General features: G+C 45.6%; 3 long non-coding RNA genes across 7 annotated transcripts in view; 1 reads left to right on the top strand and 2 right to left on the bottom strand.

Moving 5' to 3' along the window:
- The window catches only part of CYTOR (cytoskeleton regulator RNA), a 66,092-nt gene that overhangs the window by 27,749 nt on the left and 21,162 nt on the right, over nt 1-17,181 (bottom strand). Inside the window, exons 2-3 of one of the 5 annotated variants that reach the window (NR_024204.2) lie at nt 15,540-15,648; nt 13,347-13,547 (exon numbers count right to left, since the gene is read on the bottom strand). The exons of 3 other annotated variants lie outside the window; for them this stretch is intronic. This is a non-coding gene — a long non-coding RNA (cytoskeleton regulator RNA). The remainder of the gene's footprint in view (nt 1-13,346; nt 13,548-15,539; nt 15,649-17,181) is intronic. One more of the 5 variants, NR_146461.1, reaches the window with a different exon arrangement.
- Nucleotides 1-17,181, bottom strand: part of NCAL1 (NK cell activity associated lncRNA 1) — a 282,375-nt gene that overhangs the window by 244,084 nt on the left and 21,110 nt on the right. The window lies entirely within an intron of this gene.
- On the top strand, nt 6,436-16,275 carry LOC124906032 (uncharacterized). Its single transcript, XR_010947475.1, has 2 exons — nt 6,436-10,652; nt 15,505-16,275. It is a non-coding gene; the product is annotated as an uncharacterized LOC124906032 (long non-coding RNA).

Here is a 17,181-nt window from a genome sequence, read left to right as displayed (position 1 = left end):
TGCCTGGGCGACAGAACCAGACTCCGTCTCAAAAAAAAAAAAAAAAAGAAAAAGGTATTTTGGGTCAGGAGCGGTGGCTCATGCCTGTAATCCCAACACTTTGTGAGACCGAGGCGGGTGGATCACCTGAGGTGAGGAGTTCCACATCAGCCTGGCCAACACGGCAAAACCCAGTCTCTACTAAAAATACAAAAAAATTAGCTGGGCACGGTGGTGGGTGACTATAATCCCAGCTACTTGGGAGGCTGAGGCAGGAGAGTGGCTTGAACCCAGGAGGTGAAGGTTGCAGTGAGCCAAGATCACGCCACTACACTCCAGCCTAGGTGACAGAGCCAGACTCTGTCTAAAACAAACAAACAAACAAACAAACAAAATGCTGGGAGCGGTGGCTCATGCCTGTAATCCCAGCACTTTGGGAGGCTGAGGCAGGAGGATCACCTGAGGTCAGGAGTTCCAGACCAGCCTGGCCAACATGGTGAAATCCTGTCTCTACTAAAAATACCAAAAATTAGCTGGGCACAGTGGCAGGCGCCTGTAATCCCAGCTACTCGGGAGGCTGAGGCAAGAGAATAGCTTGAACCCGGGAGGCGGAGGTTGCGGTGAGCCGAGGTCGCACCACTGCACTCCAGCCAGGGCAACAAGAGCGAAACTCCGTCTCAAAAAAAAAAAAAAAAGAAAAGAAAAGAAAAAGAAAGAAAGCAAGCATTTTTGAAGCCACTCACTGACTTCACTGATAGGATGCACAGAATAAGTCAGAAAGGCAAAGCTCCCGAGTCTGCTTCACAGAAAGGAAATGTGCATGCACGAAATAAGAAGTCTTTCTCAAACACAAACAAACAAAAAGCAACTCCCTGTGCTGATAAGGAAGGAGCTAGATGCTGGGAACCAGGAGCTGGGGCTGCTGGGAGGACGGGGGAAGAGGCATGAGGGCAGGTGTCTGAATAGGAACTGTTCTGCCGCCATCTCACACAGGGGATGGAATGATGGGCATGATGCCTAATTTGCAAGGGGTGATCTTGAAAGCCACTGAGATCCCTCTCCCAGGAAGCTTACAAAAGGAAGAGCGAGTGTGACAAATAAGTGAGAGGTGTCTACTTGCAAGTCAACAAATGCCTCCTTTGCACACCAATATGCTTAAATTTAGTGGGTCACCTATGTCACTGAGTAAAACCTAGTGGACATCCTAGTGCCCCATTAGCAAGCTTCATAACTCCACCCTCAGGACAGGAGTGGAGATAATGGCGGGTAAATTAATGAGTACATCACAGTCCTTTATCCACTGTGATTGGCTCATGTGTAGGCATGTGACCTCGGCTGGTCCAATCAGGGCGAACCTCATACCTTTTACAGGAATGCTGTGACAAAAGTTTTTCCTGCTGGATTTGGACCTGAAAGGACAAATGGCAGCCACCTCGGGATCATGAGGGTTGAGTTTATTTGAGAATGGGGTCAAAGCATTAAAAACTGGGCCAGGAGGAGAAGACAGATCTGAAATATCTTGACTTCATTTTGAGCTGTATGTATGACGCCCTTTTCCTAGATTGTTCACTTACATGAGATGGTAAAACTCTGGATTTTGCTTAAACCACTTTGAATTGAGTTTTCCGTCACTTGTAACCAAAAAACTCTTTTTTTTTTTTTTTTTTTTTTGAGACGGAGTCTCACTCTGTCACCCAGGCGGGAGTGCGGTGGCGCGATCTGGGCTCGCTGCAAGCTCCGCCTCCAGGGTTCACGCCATTCTCCTGCCTCAGCCTCCCAAGTAGCTGGGACTACAGGCACCCAACACCACGCCTGGCTAATTTTTTGTATTTTTAGTAGAGACGGGGTTTCACCGTGTTAGCCAGGATGGTCTCGATCTCCTGACCTCATGATCCTCCCACCTCAGCCTCCCAAAGTGCTGGGATTACAAGCGTGAGCCACCACGCCCGGCCAACCAAACAACTCTTAATTAAATCAGAAATGCCTTTGCAATTATACACTACCCACCCCTAAAGAAGAAGGTTTTTACAAGTGTAGACGACTCCTCCTTCATATAGCCCTCAGTATTATGCAACAGTCCATCCCATTGAACTAAAGTCACAGAAACGTATATACCAAAAGATCCAATAAAATGGAGTGAAATGCAGCTCTCTTAGTGCATCTGCTCCTTAGCATTCTGAGAGATCCTACTCCCAGTGATATTACCCCAGGCTGTCAAGGCGGGTCCCTCAGATTGTCTTTTATAATTGCACAACAATTATAAGGAAAATTAAGATGGAAGTTAAAGCATCCAGAAAGAAAACCAGATTAAATGACTGAAACAACAGAGGACTAAGTAATGACAAGAGATGGCATAATATCATCATTAGGCCTCCTTCCATTTTTAACGTTATTTCTCATTCAGCTTTTTTACAAGACACAAATTTCTTCAACTCAAGGAATTTATTTTCCTTCAGGCTCAGATTCCTGCAGAATCTGACCAACTAGGATAGAATAATGCTTGAAGAGCTCTGGATTTTTATATTATAACAAATAATTATGTATAGGTTTCTTGACATTACTGATTTCTCACTGAGGTTCAGAATAGCTCAGCATACATAATAAGGGGTTTTAAGAGGTGTTCACCCTGAGTACACTTAGAAATAACATCCAACTTGGATCAAAGTGTACTTTTTTAAAAAGTTCTTGATACTATAAGCTTTGATTTGCTTCACAGAAACACCTCTAACTATAAGGGCAACTGCTGAGGTTTGACAGTTCATCTGCCCTGATCTTTCATTCATTCATTCATCATTGTGCAGCACTGAGTTTAAATAAAAAGAGCCATGTTATTGGGCTTAGAATTTAACGTGAAACCCCGATCCATGCAAGCTAAGGGCCAAGGAAGGAATGCCAGCTAGCCTCCTACAGGCAGTGGCTGAAGAGCTGAAAAAACCTAGTGGCCAAGTCAGGCCACGGAGTTCGTTGAGCCTCTGCTGCCCATGGGCCTCCCCCTTCCTGGCATCCTGGGTCAATGGATGGATTCTGACTGTGGAGGCCCCCAGTTCAGCCTCTTTTCATACCCCTGGGGGTTATCTGCAGTGCTGCAGCCCCTTGGTGGGAGCCTCCTTCTTGCACTGGGGACACCCTGGTCCCCCTAAAATCCCACATACCCTGTGGAACTCCATGGGTGTGGATTCTGAATTCCTTAGACACCAGCTCGTTCACTCTCATTTTACAGGTGAAGGGAGCTACTCTCTGTCCAAGCAGATCAGGGCCTCCATGGGCTTGCCTCCCAGGCAGAATTCCAATTTCCTGGTCCATCAGAGGTCCTCACCTGCTCCTCTAGGAGAGAACCCTGATATAAAAGGGAGGAAAGATTCCCCTCCATGTTTCCAGTGCTCATTGGTTATCACTAGCCACAGTCAAGCCTTCTTATGACTCCCAGTCCCATCTGACTTGCTCAGAGCTCCGGAGCCTAACATCCCAGTCTTCCTGAAACACTGCTTAAGCCATGGGATTTTCCTGCTCGAGGACCCACAGAGCTCCCTACTGGCTCCAACACAGAGTTGACATTCTTTGCCCAGGCTGAGAAAGACCTCTGTGGTTTGCTCCTACCCTAAGTATGCAACATTTCCCTCTTCTCATGAATCTCTTTGTGCTTTTATTCAACAAAAATATGTTGAGCACTGGATTATTAGTTTGCTTGAGCTACTATAACAAAGTATTAGAGACTGACAACAGAAATGTATTGCCTCACAGCTCTGATGGCTGGAAGTCTGAGACCAAGTTGTTGGCAGGGTGGTTTCTTCTGAGGCCTCCCTCTCTCCTTGGCTTGTAGATGACCACCTACTTGCTATGTTGTCATGTGGGTCTTCCCTCTGTGTATGTCTATATCCTAATCTCCTTTTTTTTTCTTTTTCTTTTATTATACTTTAAGTTCTAGGGTACATGTGCACAATGTGCAGGTTTGTTACATATGTATACGTGTGCCATGTTGGTGTGCTCTTAATCTCCTTTTATAAGGACACAAGTCATATTGAATTAGAGGCCACCCATATGACCTCATTTTACCTTAATTACCTCTTCAGAGACCCTTTCTCCAAATACGGTCACATTCCAAGGTACTGGAGTTGGGGTGGCACCATACGAATTTGGGATGGGACACAATTCAGCCCTTAACAAGTCCCAATATGATGCCAGGGAATGGGGAAGGGAGGAGAAAAAGGGACATAGAAGGGGACAGAGATGGATAAAACATGGCCTCTGCCCTCAGCAGATGAAACTCTACTGTCCACACAGGAGGATGGCGTGATTTTCTCCTTGCCCACCCCAGCCCCAGCTCCTGCCTCTGTTGGGCAGCCTCTGATGCTTCACTTCCTCCTCTATCTAATCAGTCTTTCAAGGCACAGCCTCATTCCCTTTCTCAGGAGCACCCCCCTACTGGCTTACACTCCCTGAGTCCCTCCTGGACTTCCCTCAAGCGTATTACCTCCTCCCTGTGCTATCCTGACCACCCTGTGAACTTCTCCATGGAGCAGCTACCTGGATGTCTAGTGCAAGGCTGGGCATGGTAGGCATCAAGCCAATATTTCCTTCTCATGGGATAAAACATGTTTCTCCTTTCTGCTTTCTGTCTGATAAAAGCCAGCAAATGGCACTGGGGGTGTCTGGTTCCTCCACCACTTGTCTGCGTCTTTCAGATAAATATTACCTATTTCATCGTGTTCTGAAATGCAAAACCTTTCTAGTATCAGTAAGTGAAATCCCCAGTCAGCATACCATGATGAAATATTCTTCTAAGTCTCATATTTTTACTCACTTTACACCCAGAGTTACATGTGTGAGAGGTGACATTTTACTGTGTGGGACAGGAATGCCATCCTCACTGATGTTAACCATGTCACACTGGAATGACATCTCAGAAGACGAGAAATAACCAGGGGCCTTTAAAACTTAATGCATCTTGAGGCCGGGCACAGTGGCTCACGCCTGTAATCCCAGCACTTTGGGAGACCGAGGTGGGTGGACCACTTGAGGCCAGGAGTTCAAGACCAGACTGACCAATATGGTAAAACCCCATCTCTACTAAAAATACAAAAATTAGCCGGGCGTGGTGGTACACGCCTGTAGTCCCAGCTATTCGGGAGGCTGAGGCACGAGAATCACTTGAACCCGAGAGGCGGAGGTTGCAGTGAGCTGAGATTGCGCCACTGCACTCCAGCCTGGGCAACCGAGCAAGACTCTTATCTCAAAAAAAAAAAAAAAAAAAAACTTAATGTATCTTGAAATGTAAACAAATTATCTTGTTTTACACTTTTCTTTTACTGTCATCAGCAATAAATGCCACCTGATATGTGTATCCAACACTGTGCCCCAGCCCTTTCCTGCTGAGCTAAACATCAGCTCTTAACTTTGAACATGCCCTAGACTCACACAGACAGACCCTCAGAGGTCTTCTCTGTGCTCCCAGAGTGCTTTGTTCAGAGTCTGGTTTAGTGGCATGGTAATTAAGAGTGTGCACATTGGGAGCTAACTGTTTGACTTTAAATCTACCTGCTGTGTGACTTTGGACAAGTTACATAACCTCTCTGGGCCTCATTTTTCCTCAAAGCCACCAAAAAAATCACTGAAGGGCATTGGGGACATCTGGTTCCCAATGTAAGGATGAAATAAGATAATTCAGATAATTAACCTGGCCCAGAAGCTGGAACATTTTGGCCCCCAGGAAACACGAGTGTTAATATTCACATTACCTTTCCCAACTATCTCCCCTTCCAAACTGTGAACTTCCCCAGGACAAGGGCACTATTCCTTAGGTGCCTGGGACATAATAATCACACAGCTAATGTTTGTGGGAAAAAAAACACATGCAATGACTCAATTCTACTTTTAAAACTGGCTTTTCCTCCTTATTTTAAAATGTAACTTGCTCACCTTAGGGCCTTAAAAAAATATGTAACAAGAAGAGTAACACAGACCAATTAAAACTTTTAAGTTAACTAAATGAAACCCCCCAGCTCCTGTCTTTGGGCTTCATCCATAGGTTTTCAGGGCAAACACCCCACAAATGCCAAACAGATTTGCACATGTGCTAATTATCTACTTTTCACTGTTTCCCATAAAATAAATACTTTCAAATGCAAAGTTGACGGTGAAAAGTATATTAATTATAGAGAATGAAGAGCAGTACCATGATGTTCATCCTGAGGCCAAATGAACAATGATCAAAACTTCTAACTGAAAATTCCTGGAGAACACCTTCATCGGCAGCATATGCCATCTCCTTGCAGCTCTCCCAGCCAGCACTAAAGCCAGCCTCCAGGCTGTGAGGCTCACCTTAGCCTGAGTCACAATCCCCCACACTTCCTGAGAGTAGTTATGTTTTTATTATCCAGTAATTAAAGATAAAACATAGTATAAATTGAATTATGCATGTAAAAGCATTTGTATTATTTATATCACGAGTCCCAATATCATAGAATACATAAATGCTAGAGCCACTTGTGATTTTTGTTATTTACAAAGGCTGATAGGCAGGTGGATTTCAGCATCCCTGCCAACATGGTGGGATCTGAGGCTGCCAGGGTGGGAACCACTCGTCAAGGAGAACATTCCCTGTGTCTACCAGCAAAGATCCAGGCCAACTGCTGGCTGAAGAGAGAGCAAAAAGAAACAGGCTATGAAGGGCTTCTGCTCTTACAACCCTATAAGGAGTATATATTTTACACTGGAAAATCTGATCCTTAGAGCAAGCCAGTCCTGTATCAGCATATAGTCCTGGTATTGTCCAGAAAAAATAAATCATCTTGCTACTTAGAGACATTAGCTAGCCAAACGCAGTAGAATCTACAAGATCACATAGTATTCAAATTATTATTAACCAAAAATGCCTTGTAGTACTTTAGGGGTACAGAGCAAGCAGAGAAAAGGTGGTGGTCCATGAAGTGCCCTTTGTAACATTCAGAGCTGAGTTGTCCCCTGTAACTGGGCACCATCCCTGCACTGCTCCTTGGGTGTTGGGCTCTGAAACACTCCAGCTGACTCAGAAAATGATTCTCGGTGGGGGATGGAAATCAGGAGCTCTTTATTTTTGATTTTTTTATTTTTTTTGAGATAAGATCTCACTGTGTCACCCAGGCTGGAGGGCAGCAGTGCCATCACAGCTCACTGCAACCTCGACCTCCCTGGCTCAAACCATCCTCCCAACCTCAGCCCCCAGAGTAGCTGGAATTACCATGCCACCACACCTGGCTAATTTGTGTGTGTGTGCACACACATGCGCGCTCGTGTGTGTGTACGCGCATGTGTGTGTGTGGAGATGAGGTCTCACTATGTTGCCCAGGCCGGTCTCAAACTTCTGGGCTCAAGCAATCATCCCACTTCGACCTTCCAAAGTGCTGGGATTACAGGCGTGAGCCACCATGCCTAGCTAAGCTCTTTAGAAATGATTTACTCCCATTTTTTGAGGTTTGCCATGTCACAGAAAATGAGACCCCACTGAGAGATTCAAATGTGCGGGAAGAAAGAACAATGTGTGCTTCTTCACAGGGGGAGAGCAGGGAGCCTGCAGCCCGCCTGAGCTGCAGGTGCTTCAGCTGGTTTCACACTTGCTGTCCCCAGCCCCTGCTCCTGGCCAGACGCCGGCCTCTGTGGGCGGCCCGGAGGGCACCGTGCGTTGGTGCAGGCCTTCGTGGGCAGCAGCGCTGACGTTTGGAAACAAGGCCCCACCCACACAGGCTGGGTTTCAGTTTCACCAGGGAGCAAACACCATTATGCAAATTATTTTCCTTGCTCAACTCCCCATCCCCCATCACTGTCTTACATATTCATTCTTCACTCTGAAGTTAATGTACACAAGAGGCCAACTAAGGATTTGCATCCTATTTACTTTAAAATGCCCAGGTGCAATTTTGAAACAAGATTCTCCTTTCAGAAGGGCAATCACGAATATAAAGTAGAGAATTAGTAGCAGTGTCAAGAGTAAAGCCCCGAGGCTAATACCAAACTTCTAACATAAACGGAGTGTTGAAAGGCACATGCCAGGAATTATATAAACCGAAGGAAAAAGACAACTGGGGGGTGTGTTCCCATGCATTCGATTTGGTCCAAGGAGAGCCAGGCCCACGGAGAGAGGACAGACAGCCTCGGGCCCCTTCAATCCTCTCTACACATGTCAAGAATACCTGGGTCTCATGGGGTTTAGGAAAACGAATGTCTAGTTCACATTCAGGTCACGTTCTAGAAATTAGGGCATGAAGTCATTTTATCTGCATTATGTGTGATTCATTTGCAGTTTAACTCAAGTGATTTGAGGTACCAACTCAGGCAAAAAAATTCTGAACCCAGAAACAGTGTTAGTAAAATTTGTAGGGGGTGGAGGGTGTGGGATGGGGTGCACAAAGCTATGCTTTCCTTTCCTGTCATGATAAATAAATTTGTTAGGGATATGTTTATATGAATTTAGACCTGAATAATTCCATGCAGCTGTAATCATTATTTTATTTATGAGATTCAGATAATTGTAGTGAATAATTTTGCGGTTGTTTCTAAAGAGGTCAAGGGTTTCTATCAGCAGACACACAGAAGGAACCATTTTTAGGATGGTAATTTCTATTTCCCTCAAAAACATTCTTCCTTGGTCCCCACTTATACTCAGTTTCATTTTTCAAGGCGGATTGCAAGGTTCGTGTAAAGCTCACAGCTGCAATGAAGTCACTGACAAATCTGTGAATTACCCTGAGTGCAAAGACAAGCTAGTTCATTTATAAACAGCCCTTAGAATAATAGTAAACTAAACTGCAGGTGGGAAACCTTCATAAGATAAAAACTCAGACACACTGTCCCTTCTTGGAAAGCCCTGGATAAGAAGTAAACAATGCCAACAAGTCCCTTAGTGACTTGTCACTCCACTTAAAATGGCCTTTATTAAGAGTGATGACCTCCGCCTTAACTGTAAGACCAACCAACTCAAATGTAAGTCAAGAACAAGAACATATTTCCTTGCAGGGGATTCTGTGCAAACTCATAGATGATTTGCACCTCTGTGAAAGGTCATGGCTAGGAGGCCAGGTTGAGGAAACTTGAACAGCTAAAGTACACCCAGGCTGTCTGCTAACTACCTGCATCCTAATTACCTGTCTGCTATCGCTGTGTGACGTGCAGAGCCATGAGATAGGATCTGTCTTCATTTACAGATCATAAAAAAACAAAGCTTTAGACAGGTTAAGTAGCTTGCCCAATGAAAGCAATTTCTTCTGACCCTTGTGCACAATTATGTCCACAGGAGAACACCATATACATATATTGCCCAACCTTTGAACACCATTTACTCAAGAATGGCTTTCCTTTCCCTGCCATGCACAGGCAGGCTTGTGGTTAGCCAGTCCTTTCTGGTCAGTGTGGATATATCTGCTGGGTTCAGGGGTGTAGGGTTAGGGATCTCACTGTTTCCGCACACCAAAACTGTTCTCCAACAGCTCAGTCAATAAAAACAGCTGATATCGGGGCAGGGGTGGAGTTCTTGGTTCAGGACTCTTCTAATGTCCTGGACTGCAGAAAAGCCCTTGCCCTTACCCTGGATAAATACCTGAGAATGCTTGTCTCCTTCCCACTCTGTAGGCACTCTTGTCCTCTCCATTCCCTTCCTTGCCTCCTGAGGAGCTTCTGTGGCCCTGGGCTGATGTGGGGAAGGGAGAAGGGTCCCCTGCACCCCTGGGATGGGAACATGAATGAGTCTGCCCACCAACCCCTAAGAAATATGCATACCTGTGCTCAAATTATGGGGCCATCAGTTCTGCTAGTCTCAGAGCCCCCTAGGGAGGGCGACCCAGCTTTTACTGGACACCCAGGGACTTTCCCTGGAACCTGCTGTTGTGAGCGTTTCTGAGGTGTAGACAAACAGCTCCCCCACACACCTAGCCAACAACCCACTCTCAAGGTGGGAAACACCATTCTAAGGACTCGCATTAACCCATCTGGATAACCCTGGGTAATCTGGAGCAGAGGTCGAAACCACTGAATGGCTCAGGTACGGTAGAAAATGCCTCTGATTGATTGTTTTGGACATCGCTGCTATTGCAACAGAGAAAGATCAAGCCCCATCACCTAGAAGGGATTTCATTCTTTGCAACAGGAAAGATAGTTCAGAATCCAGCGCCAATTATTCCCAGAAAAAAAATACCATTTGAAACATTACAAATGAAATTGAGTTATATAAACCCCCTTCCTCATCCCTTCCAAGGAGGGTGGATTCTGCGGATATCAAGGGTGACTGTGGCAGACTGGAAGGGTGGGAAAGAGATCAAATTAGAGAAAACCAAGGGAAGAGCAACTGCCAGCCACCTAGGAAAAAGGAGAGAGGCCTAGGTGACAGGACCCCGAGTTGGAGAGAAAGACACACAGAGGGGTGAGTCAGAGGAAAGCTACAGAAGGGTGTGCTGGGGACAGGCGTCAAGAGGTGAGGCTGCCTCAGGGAGAGGAAGCACGGGAGGAGACCTGGCCCAGGAGAGTTTCAGAGGCTCCTCCCAGCAGCGTGCAGTAGTACCTCCTCCCCCAAGAAATCAGGATTGTGCAGGAAACACTCTCCTACTTCTCAGTGGCCACTGGAGAGCTCTGAACCCAGCCCAGGGTCAACTGCCCGGCACTGTCAGGCAGTTCCTCTGACTCCACAGCACATTCTAATTGCAGTCACTGTGAGTACACTGGCAATTATGCACCCTGCCCCAAATTCCTAATTGTAGTAGGAAGTTAAACTGGAGCATTTTTTTTTTAAATTGCTCAAACAAGTCTTTAGGAATTTAAATGTATTTATAGAAATGTATGTAAGTATGTTTACATACATTTCTATAAAAATATTCTTGTAAGTAAATGTTATTTATATATACTGCGCATCTAATGATGCAATTGGCTTCATGACTTTAGATATTAGAGATTAGGGAGTTTCCTGGTCAGGACAGTCAGGAAGAAGGGAGAGATGCTTAAAGAAATTGGCAGAGCTGCATGGTAGAAGTCTGATAGAAAGGGCTTGAGTGAAACCTGGAAAGACAGTTCATTAGGGAAAAGGTGCCTGCTGCCTGTTGAGAGCCAGTGCCTCCCACATAGTGGTGCTCAATGCACTGTGGAACTCAACAGAGCCCTGGCAAAGCACGCTCCGGGACTCACAAATCTGAATGGGTTAAAAGAGAAATAGAAGAATTTGGTCGTGAGAGAAAACAGAACTTCTAGACTTCTATTTTATCTATATTTTCTGTCCAAGAAAAAAACATTAATACTGAGAAGGAGACTGTGTTAGTCAGAGTTCTCCAAAGAAACAGAATCAATTGGATGTGTGTGTGTGTGTGTGTGTGTGTGTGTGTGGGTGTGTGTGGGTGGGTGTGTGTGTGTGGGTGTGTGTGTGTGTGTGTGAGAGAGAGAGAGAGAGAAGGGCGAGGAGGGTAGTGGAGATTGAGTTGTTTAAGGATTAGGTTCCCACAATGGTAAGGGCTGGCAAGTCCAAAATCCACAGGGCAGGCTGGCAGGCAGAGACCCCAGGAGTCCCTGTTGCAGTTTGGGTCAGCTGACAGAATCCAATCTTCTTTGGGGAGGTTCGTCATTTTCTTTTCTTTTTTTTTTTTTTTTTTTTTTTTTGAGACAGAGTCTCACTCTGTCGCCCAGGCTGGAGTGCAGTGGTGCCATCTCAGCTCACTGCAAGCTCCGCCTCCTGGGTTCACGCCATTCTCCTGCCTCAGCCTCCCGAGTAGCTGGGACTACAGGCGCCCGCCACCACGCCTGGCTAATTTTTTGTATTTTTAGTAGAGACGGGGTTTCACCATGTTAGTCAGGAAGGTCTCAATCTCCTGACCTCATGATCCGCCTGCCTCGGCCTCCCAAAGCACTGGGATTACAGGCGTGAGCCACTGCGCCCAGCCCATCATTTTCTATTAAGGCCTTCAACTGACTGGATGAGGCCCACCCACATTATGACTCTGCTTTGCCAAAATCTACTGATTTAAATGTTAATCTGCTAAAAAGTGCCTTCACAGAAACATCCAGGATAATGTTTGACCAAATATCTGGGTACCATGCCCTAGCAAAGTTGGCACATAAAACTAACCATCACAAAGAGACTGACATTGTGTGGGGCAACTGAAGCCCAGGAGAGGGTGGAGAGTATGAAACGGCATCCAGGTGATGAGAACTGAGTTCTGTTTCTGCCCAGTGACCGACAGTCCAGCAGTCGGGAGCTGAGCTCTAAGAATCACCACCACAAACTTCTCAGGAGTCCATAAGACATCAGCAATTCTGGTGGCTTAAAGGGCTAGAAGGTGGCTCCGTAAACCCTGAACCTTGTATTTACCTTTGACAAGATTCTAAGATAGATTGCCACAAACATGCTTTAGAAAACCTTAGGAAAGGGGCCGGGCGCAGTGGCTCACACCTGTAATCCCAGCACTTTGGGAGGCTGAGGCGGGTGGATCATCTGAGGTCAGGAGTTCAAAATCAGCCTGGCCAACATAGTGAAATCCTGTCTCTACTAAAAATACAAAACTAGCCAGGTGTGGTGACAGGTGCCTGTAATCCCAGCAACTCGGGAGGCTGAGGCAGGAGAATCGCTTGAACCTGGGAGGCAGAGGTTGCAGTAAGCTGAGATAGCGCCATTGCACTCCAGCCTGGGTGACAGAGCAAGACTCCATCTCAAAAAAAAAAAAAAACCAAAAAGGTAGGTAGTAGTAGGTTATGTACTTTTGGGTACAAAACAAAACAAAACAAAACAAAGAAACAAACAAAAAAAACCCACCTAACTTCATAAGTGTAAAATATGAGACTTTTATGTGTGTGTGTGTATGTGTGTGTGTGTGTGTGTGTATTTGGTTTTTGTTTTGTTTTGTTTTGTTTTTTGTTTTTGAGACAGGGTCTCCCTCTGTCACCCAGGTTGGAGTACAACGGCGCCATCTTGGCTCACTGTAACCTCTGCCTCCCAGGCTCAGCGATCCTCTCACCTCAGACTCCTGAGTAGCTGGGACAACAGGTGTGCACCACCACACCTGGCTAAGACTTTTGTGTTTTGTAGCAGAAATTAATGGGGAAAAATGTTATGGAATTCCGTCATTAACAGAAGTGTATTGTAGCCACCAGCCAAGCAAAGGGCTCCAAGGTGCACTAATAGGGTCTTATAGGGTGGGAGGAGGTGGCCCCTTTCTGCTCTGGGCTGATCAAGCCTCACCTGAAGCACCTTACTTCATTCTCAGGTCTACAGTTTTAGCAGGACAGAGGCAGCTTAGAATCTTCAGGGGAGAGTGAGAGACAGTGAGGGAACTTGTTAGGTGTGAGGTGGTCAAAGGAACCCTGGGCCTTGGAATATCTTGGTGGAATGTGAAAGGAGGTAGACAGATTGAACCATTTTGTACCGAGGGATGCAGACGGAGGTTGGAATGTGGATGGAGGCTGGCAAGTTTCCAATATACAAACTGTTCAATGAAGACCAAATGTTCAAGCCATCAAAAGAAGGCCAGGGCTGCTGGATCACTGGGGACATCACAGAAGAGTCAAGAGGTTTCCAGGGGCTGCAGGAGATGGTTGCTGGGTCCTCCGTAACTTTGGGCATGAGTCTAGGAAAGGAATAATAGTTTTGCAGAATGCTACAGCAAGTGCAGAAGAGTAAAAAACCACGAAGCTGATGTTTTCTGCATACCTCGTCTGTGCCTCACTCTGTGTTGTGTCCCACAGTTAACACTAGCAGCAGCCTCTGAGACAGGCATTATGGTTACCTCCATCCTACAGATGAAGACATTGAGGCTTAGGGATGCAAACTGAATTGCCCAAAGTTACATGACCAGTAAGTGGTGGGCTAGTTCAAACCCTGATCTCTGGGACTCCAGTGACAAAAGAACCAGTAGTCTCAGGGGAAAGGCCAAGTGGGTTGTATTTACCACCATAAAACCAAAAAAAAGTCTGAAAGAGAGACCTAAGTTTTTCGTTTAGATAGTTTTTATCTCCACTTGGTCTCACCTTAGTAAATTTCACATGAATAGAACATGTGGGTGGAATTACGATCAAAAATTATGAAATAAGGCTGGGCACGGTAGGCTCACGCCTGTAATCCCAGCACTTTGGGAGGCCTAGGCGAGTGGATCGCCTGAGATCAGGAGTTTGAGACCAACCTGGCCAACATGGTGAAACCCCGTCTCTACTGAAAATACAAAAATTAGCCAGGCATGACGGTGCATGCCTGTAATCCCAGCTACTCTGGAGGCTGAGACAGGAGAATCACTTGAACCCAGGAGGCAGAGGTAGCAGTGAATCTAGATCACACCACTGTACTCCAGCCTGGGCAACAGAGTAAGACTCCATCTCAAAAAAAAAAAAAAAAAAAAAAAAAAAAAAAAATATATATATATATATATATATATATGTAACAAAAAACATAAATCCAAGGCAGAACTCAGGCCAAAATACCACCAAAGACAGCCAACCCTTTGGAGGATGAGCGTATACAATTTAGTCTGAAAGGTGCATGGGAAAAAAGCCACAGAAGGTGGGCCAGATGGATATCTTCTGGTGATAATGACAGAGCCACAGGTTGAACCAGAAGCCCAAGCCTGGGAGAATGAAGTATGTCTACAGAATGACTAGGTCTCAGTAAGGAGGGCCAAAACTGGCCTAGCCGACTCCAAGGGCTCTGACTGAGGTGTCAGAGGTACAGACAGGTGAGGCCGCCCTTATGATGGGAATGTCGGATCCTGCCCACAAAACTGGGAGCTCCCTTGTTCCCAAAGCAGGAGAATCACATTCCACATACTTGCAATTGTTGACTACTGGTCAGAATCGCTGAAAACAAAAAGTGTATTGTTTGAAACCAAAAATAGATTTGATGCACCTGCTAGCAAAATACTAAATTTTTGTAGCTGCCAGATGTAAAGCACAGAATCAGCAATGAAGAATGCAAAGGGGAGCATACTGTGTCTCTATAATTGAGCATGATGACAATAATTGGCCAGACATTTCACATTTCACCTAACCACTTGCTACACAATTTATCCATGGGTGAAATAAATGGAAGTGGGTCTTTTTGTTTTATTTTATTTTTTAAGTAACACAGTCTTGCTTTGTTGCCCAGGCTGGAGGGCAGTGGCATGATCATAGCTCACTGTAACCTCAAACTTCTGGGCTCAAGCGACCCTCCCACCTCAGTCCCCCAAGCAGCTAGGACTACAGGTGTGCACCGCTGTATCTGGCCAAGTTTGTGTGTGTGTGTATTTTTTTTTATAGATAGAGTCTGGCTATGTTGCCCAGGCTGGTCTCAAACTCCTGGGCTCAAGTGATCCTCCCACAGTGCTGGGATTATAGGCATGAGCCACTGCATCCAGCCCAGAAATGGGTATTTTAAACGTATTACGAAAAACAAATTGTTATGGGTGGAGATGTGTCCCCTGCAAATTTATATATTGAAATCTTAACCTCTAGCACCCCAGAATGTGACTGTATTTGGACATATGGCCTTTAAAGAAGTAAAGTAAAATGAGATAATTACTTTAGGCCCTAATCCAATTTGACTGGCCCTACTAGGAAAAGGAAATCAGGACACAGACATGAGCACGTACAGAGAAAAGACTGTGCCAGGAGCAGGCTGCCATCTGCAAGCCAAGGAGAGAGCTCTCAGAAAAAAACGATCTTGCCGACACCTTCCTTTTGCACTTCCAGCCTCCAGGACTGTAAGAAAAGAAATTTCTGTTGTTTAAGCCACCAAGTAGTATTTCGTTATAGCAGTCCAAGCAAACTAATGCACATATCAAAACTACTTTAGTTTTTCCACTTTGTTGCAAACAATTGCAAGTTGTCCAGGTTTTCTGTCTTCCCCCAGCCTGCAAGTGCTCAGAGGACACCCAACCCTATGATCTCAGCCAACTCATGAAGTTTGATTTCACAACTTAGTGATGTCTTCCCAGTGGAATCCTAAATGATAAGGAAAATGGTATAGAGCCAAGACTTGAACATTAACAACCCAGGAGCACAGAAACAGCACAGTTAGCTGAGAGGCGTTATGGAGAGAAGCAACCGAATGCACACTGAGCGCTGTGAGAAGTCCACGACAGTGGGGAACAGCGCCCACCGTCACAAAAAGAAAGACCCTCGGCAGGTACTTTAGAGTCACGTTCATGCTGTAATATGTGGGGAAGAAAGACTATTCCAAATGGATCTGGCTTTTTAAAACAAGGGAATTTTCCTTGCTCTTGGGAACCAGCAAAATCCAGCTGCTCATTGAACTGCCTGTCTGGAATCTCACAAATTTGCACCTTGAAGTTGTTAATAAAGGACTAAGTTGATAATTCGAACAAACCCTGTGGTTTGGAAGTCACTGTTTTTCTGCTTAGCGTTCGACTTTCAAGCTCTTCTTTTGGAATAGCTCTTCAGGGCATTCTATGGATGTGTAATAAACCGACAAATTCCTTGTGAGAAGTTTTAGAAACTGTCAGGTGAAATGAGCCAGGTGGGAGGGCCCAGATGGCTCAAAGCTGAAGCAATGAGGGCTCTTTTCACTGTAGCTTCTAAATGGGCTCCCAGGGTACACCCCCACACACCAAAAATTTTCAGCCATGTTTTGGTAGAAGAGTGCGTCATCCTGAGGGTGCTACCACGAGGGACCACATCATTTGCATATTTATGTCACAGCAGGCCTGATCCACACAAACTCCTGTCGCTTACCAAGTTGTGCACCTTTACCTCCATGTGCTCACTGGGCAGCTGGAAGACACACAGCGAACCTCTTGTGCTCTCAGCCTTGGTTTGCTGACCTCCATGCCTTTGCACATGCTGACCCCCACTCCACACACCCGGACCACCACTGCACATCCAAATCCACCTGCCTCTCAGGGCCTTGTCCAAATGCTGCCTCCTTCATGAGCACCCATAGTGAGTCCAAGGCAAGTCCCTGTCCCTCCCTAAACTCCAGGTCACGTCACCCCAAGTCATCTTCATCAATTTCCCTTCCTTTTTTATATCCCCATTGCTTAGATCTTGCTTTTATGGGGCTGTAAGTGGTTTCCGCTGGGATGCCTTTCTAGTTCACCTCTGTGTCCTCATCAATTTGGTGCTGAATTATATACCTGTGATTTTTTTCACTTCTTTTCAATGTCATTACTTTCCAATTGCAAAGCAGAAACATTCCTAGTAGTATATTCCAAAGCACACTGTCATTTGGTGTTCTTTATAATGTACAGTGACTATCACGTTTGCCCTTCCAAG

The sequence above is a fragment of the Homo sapiens genome, chromosome 2 (assembly GCF_000001405.40).
Source record: "Homo sapiens chromosome 2, GRCh38.p14 Primary Assembly".
Classification (NCBI taxonomy): domain Eukaryota; kingdom Metazoa; phylum Chordata; class Mammalia; order Primates; family Hominidae; genus Homo; species Homo sapiens.
The sequence above is the reverse complement of the archived record's forward strand: the minus strand, read 5'-3'. Positions and strand labels throughout refer to the sequence as shown.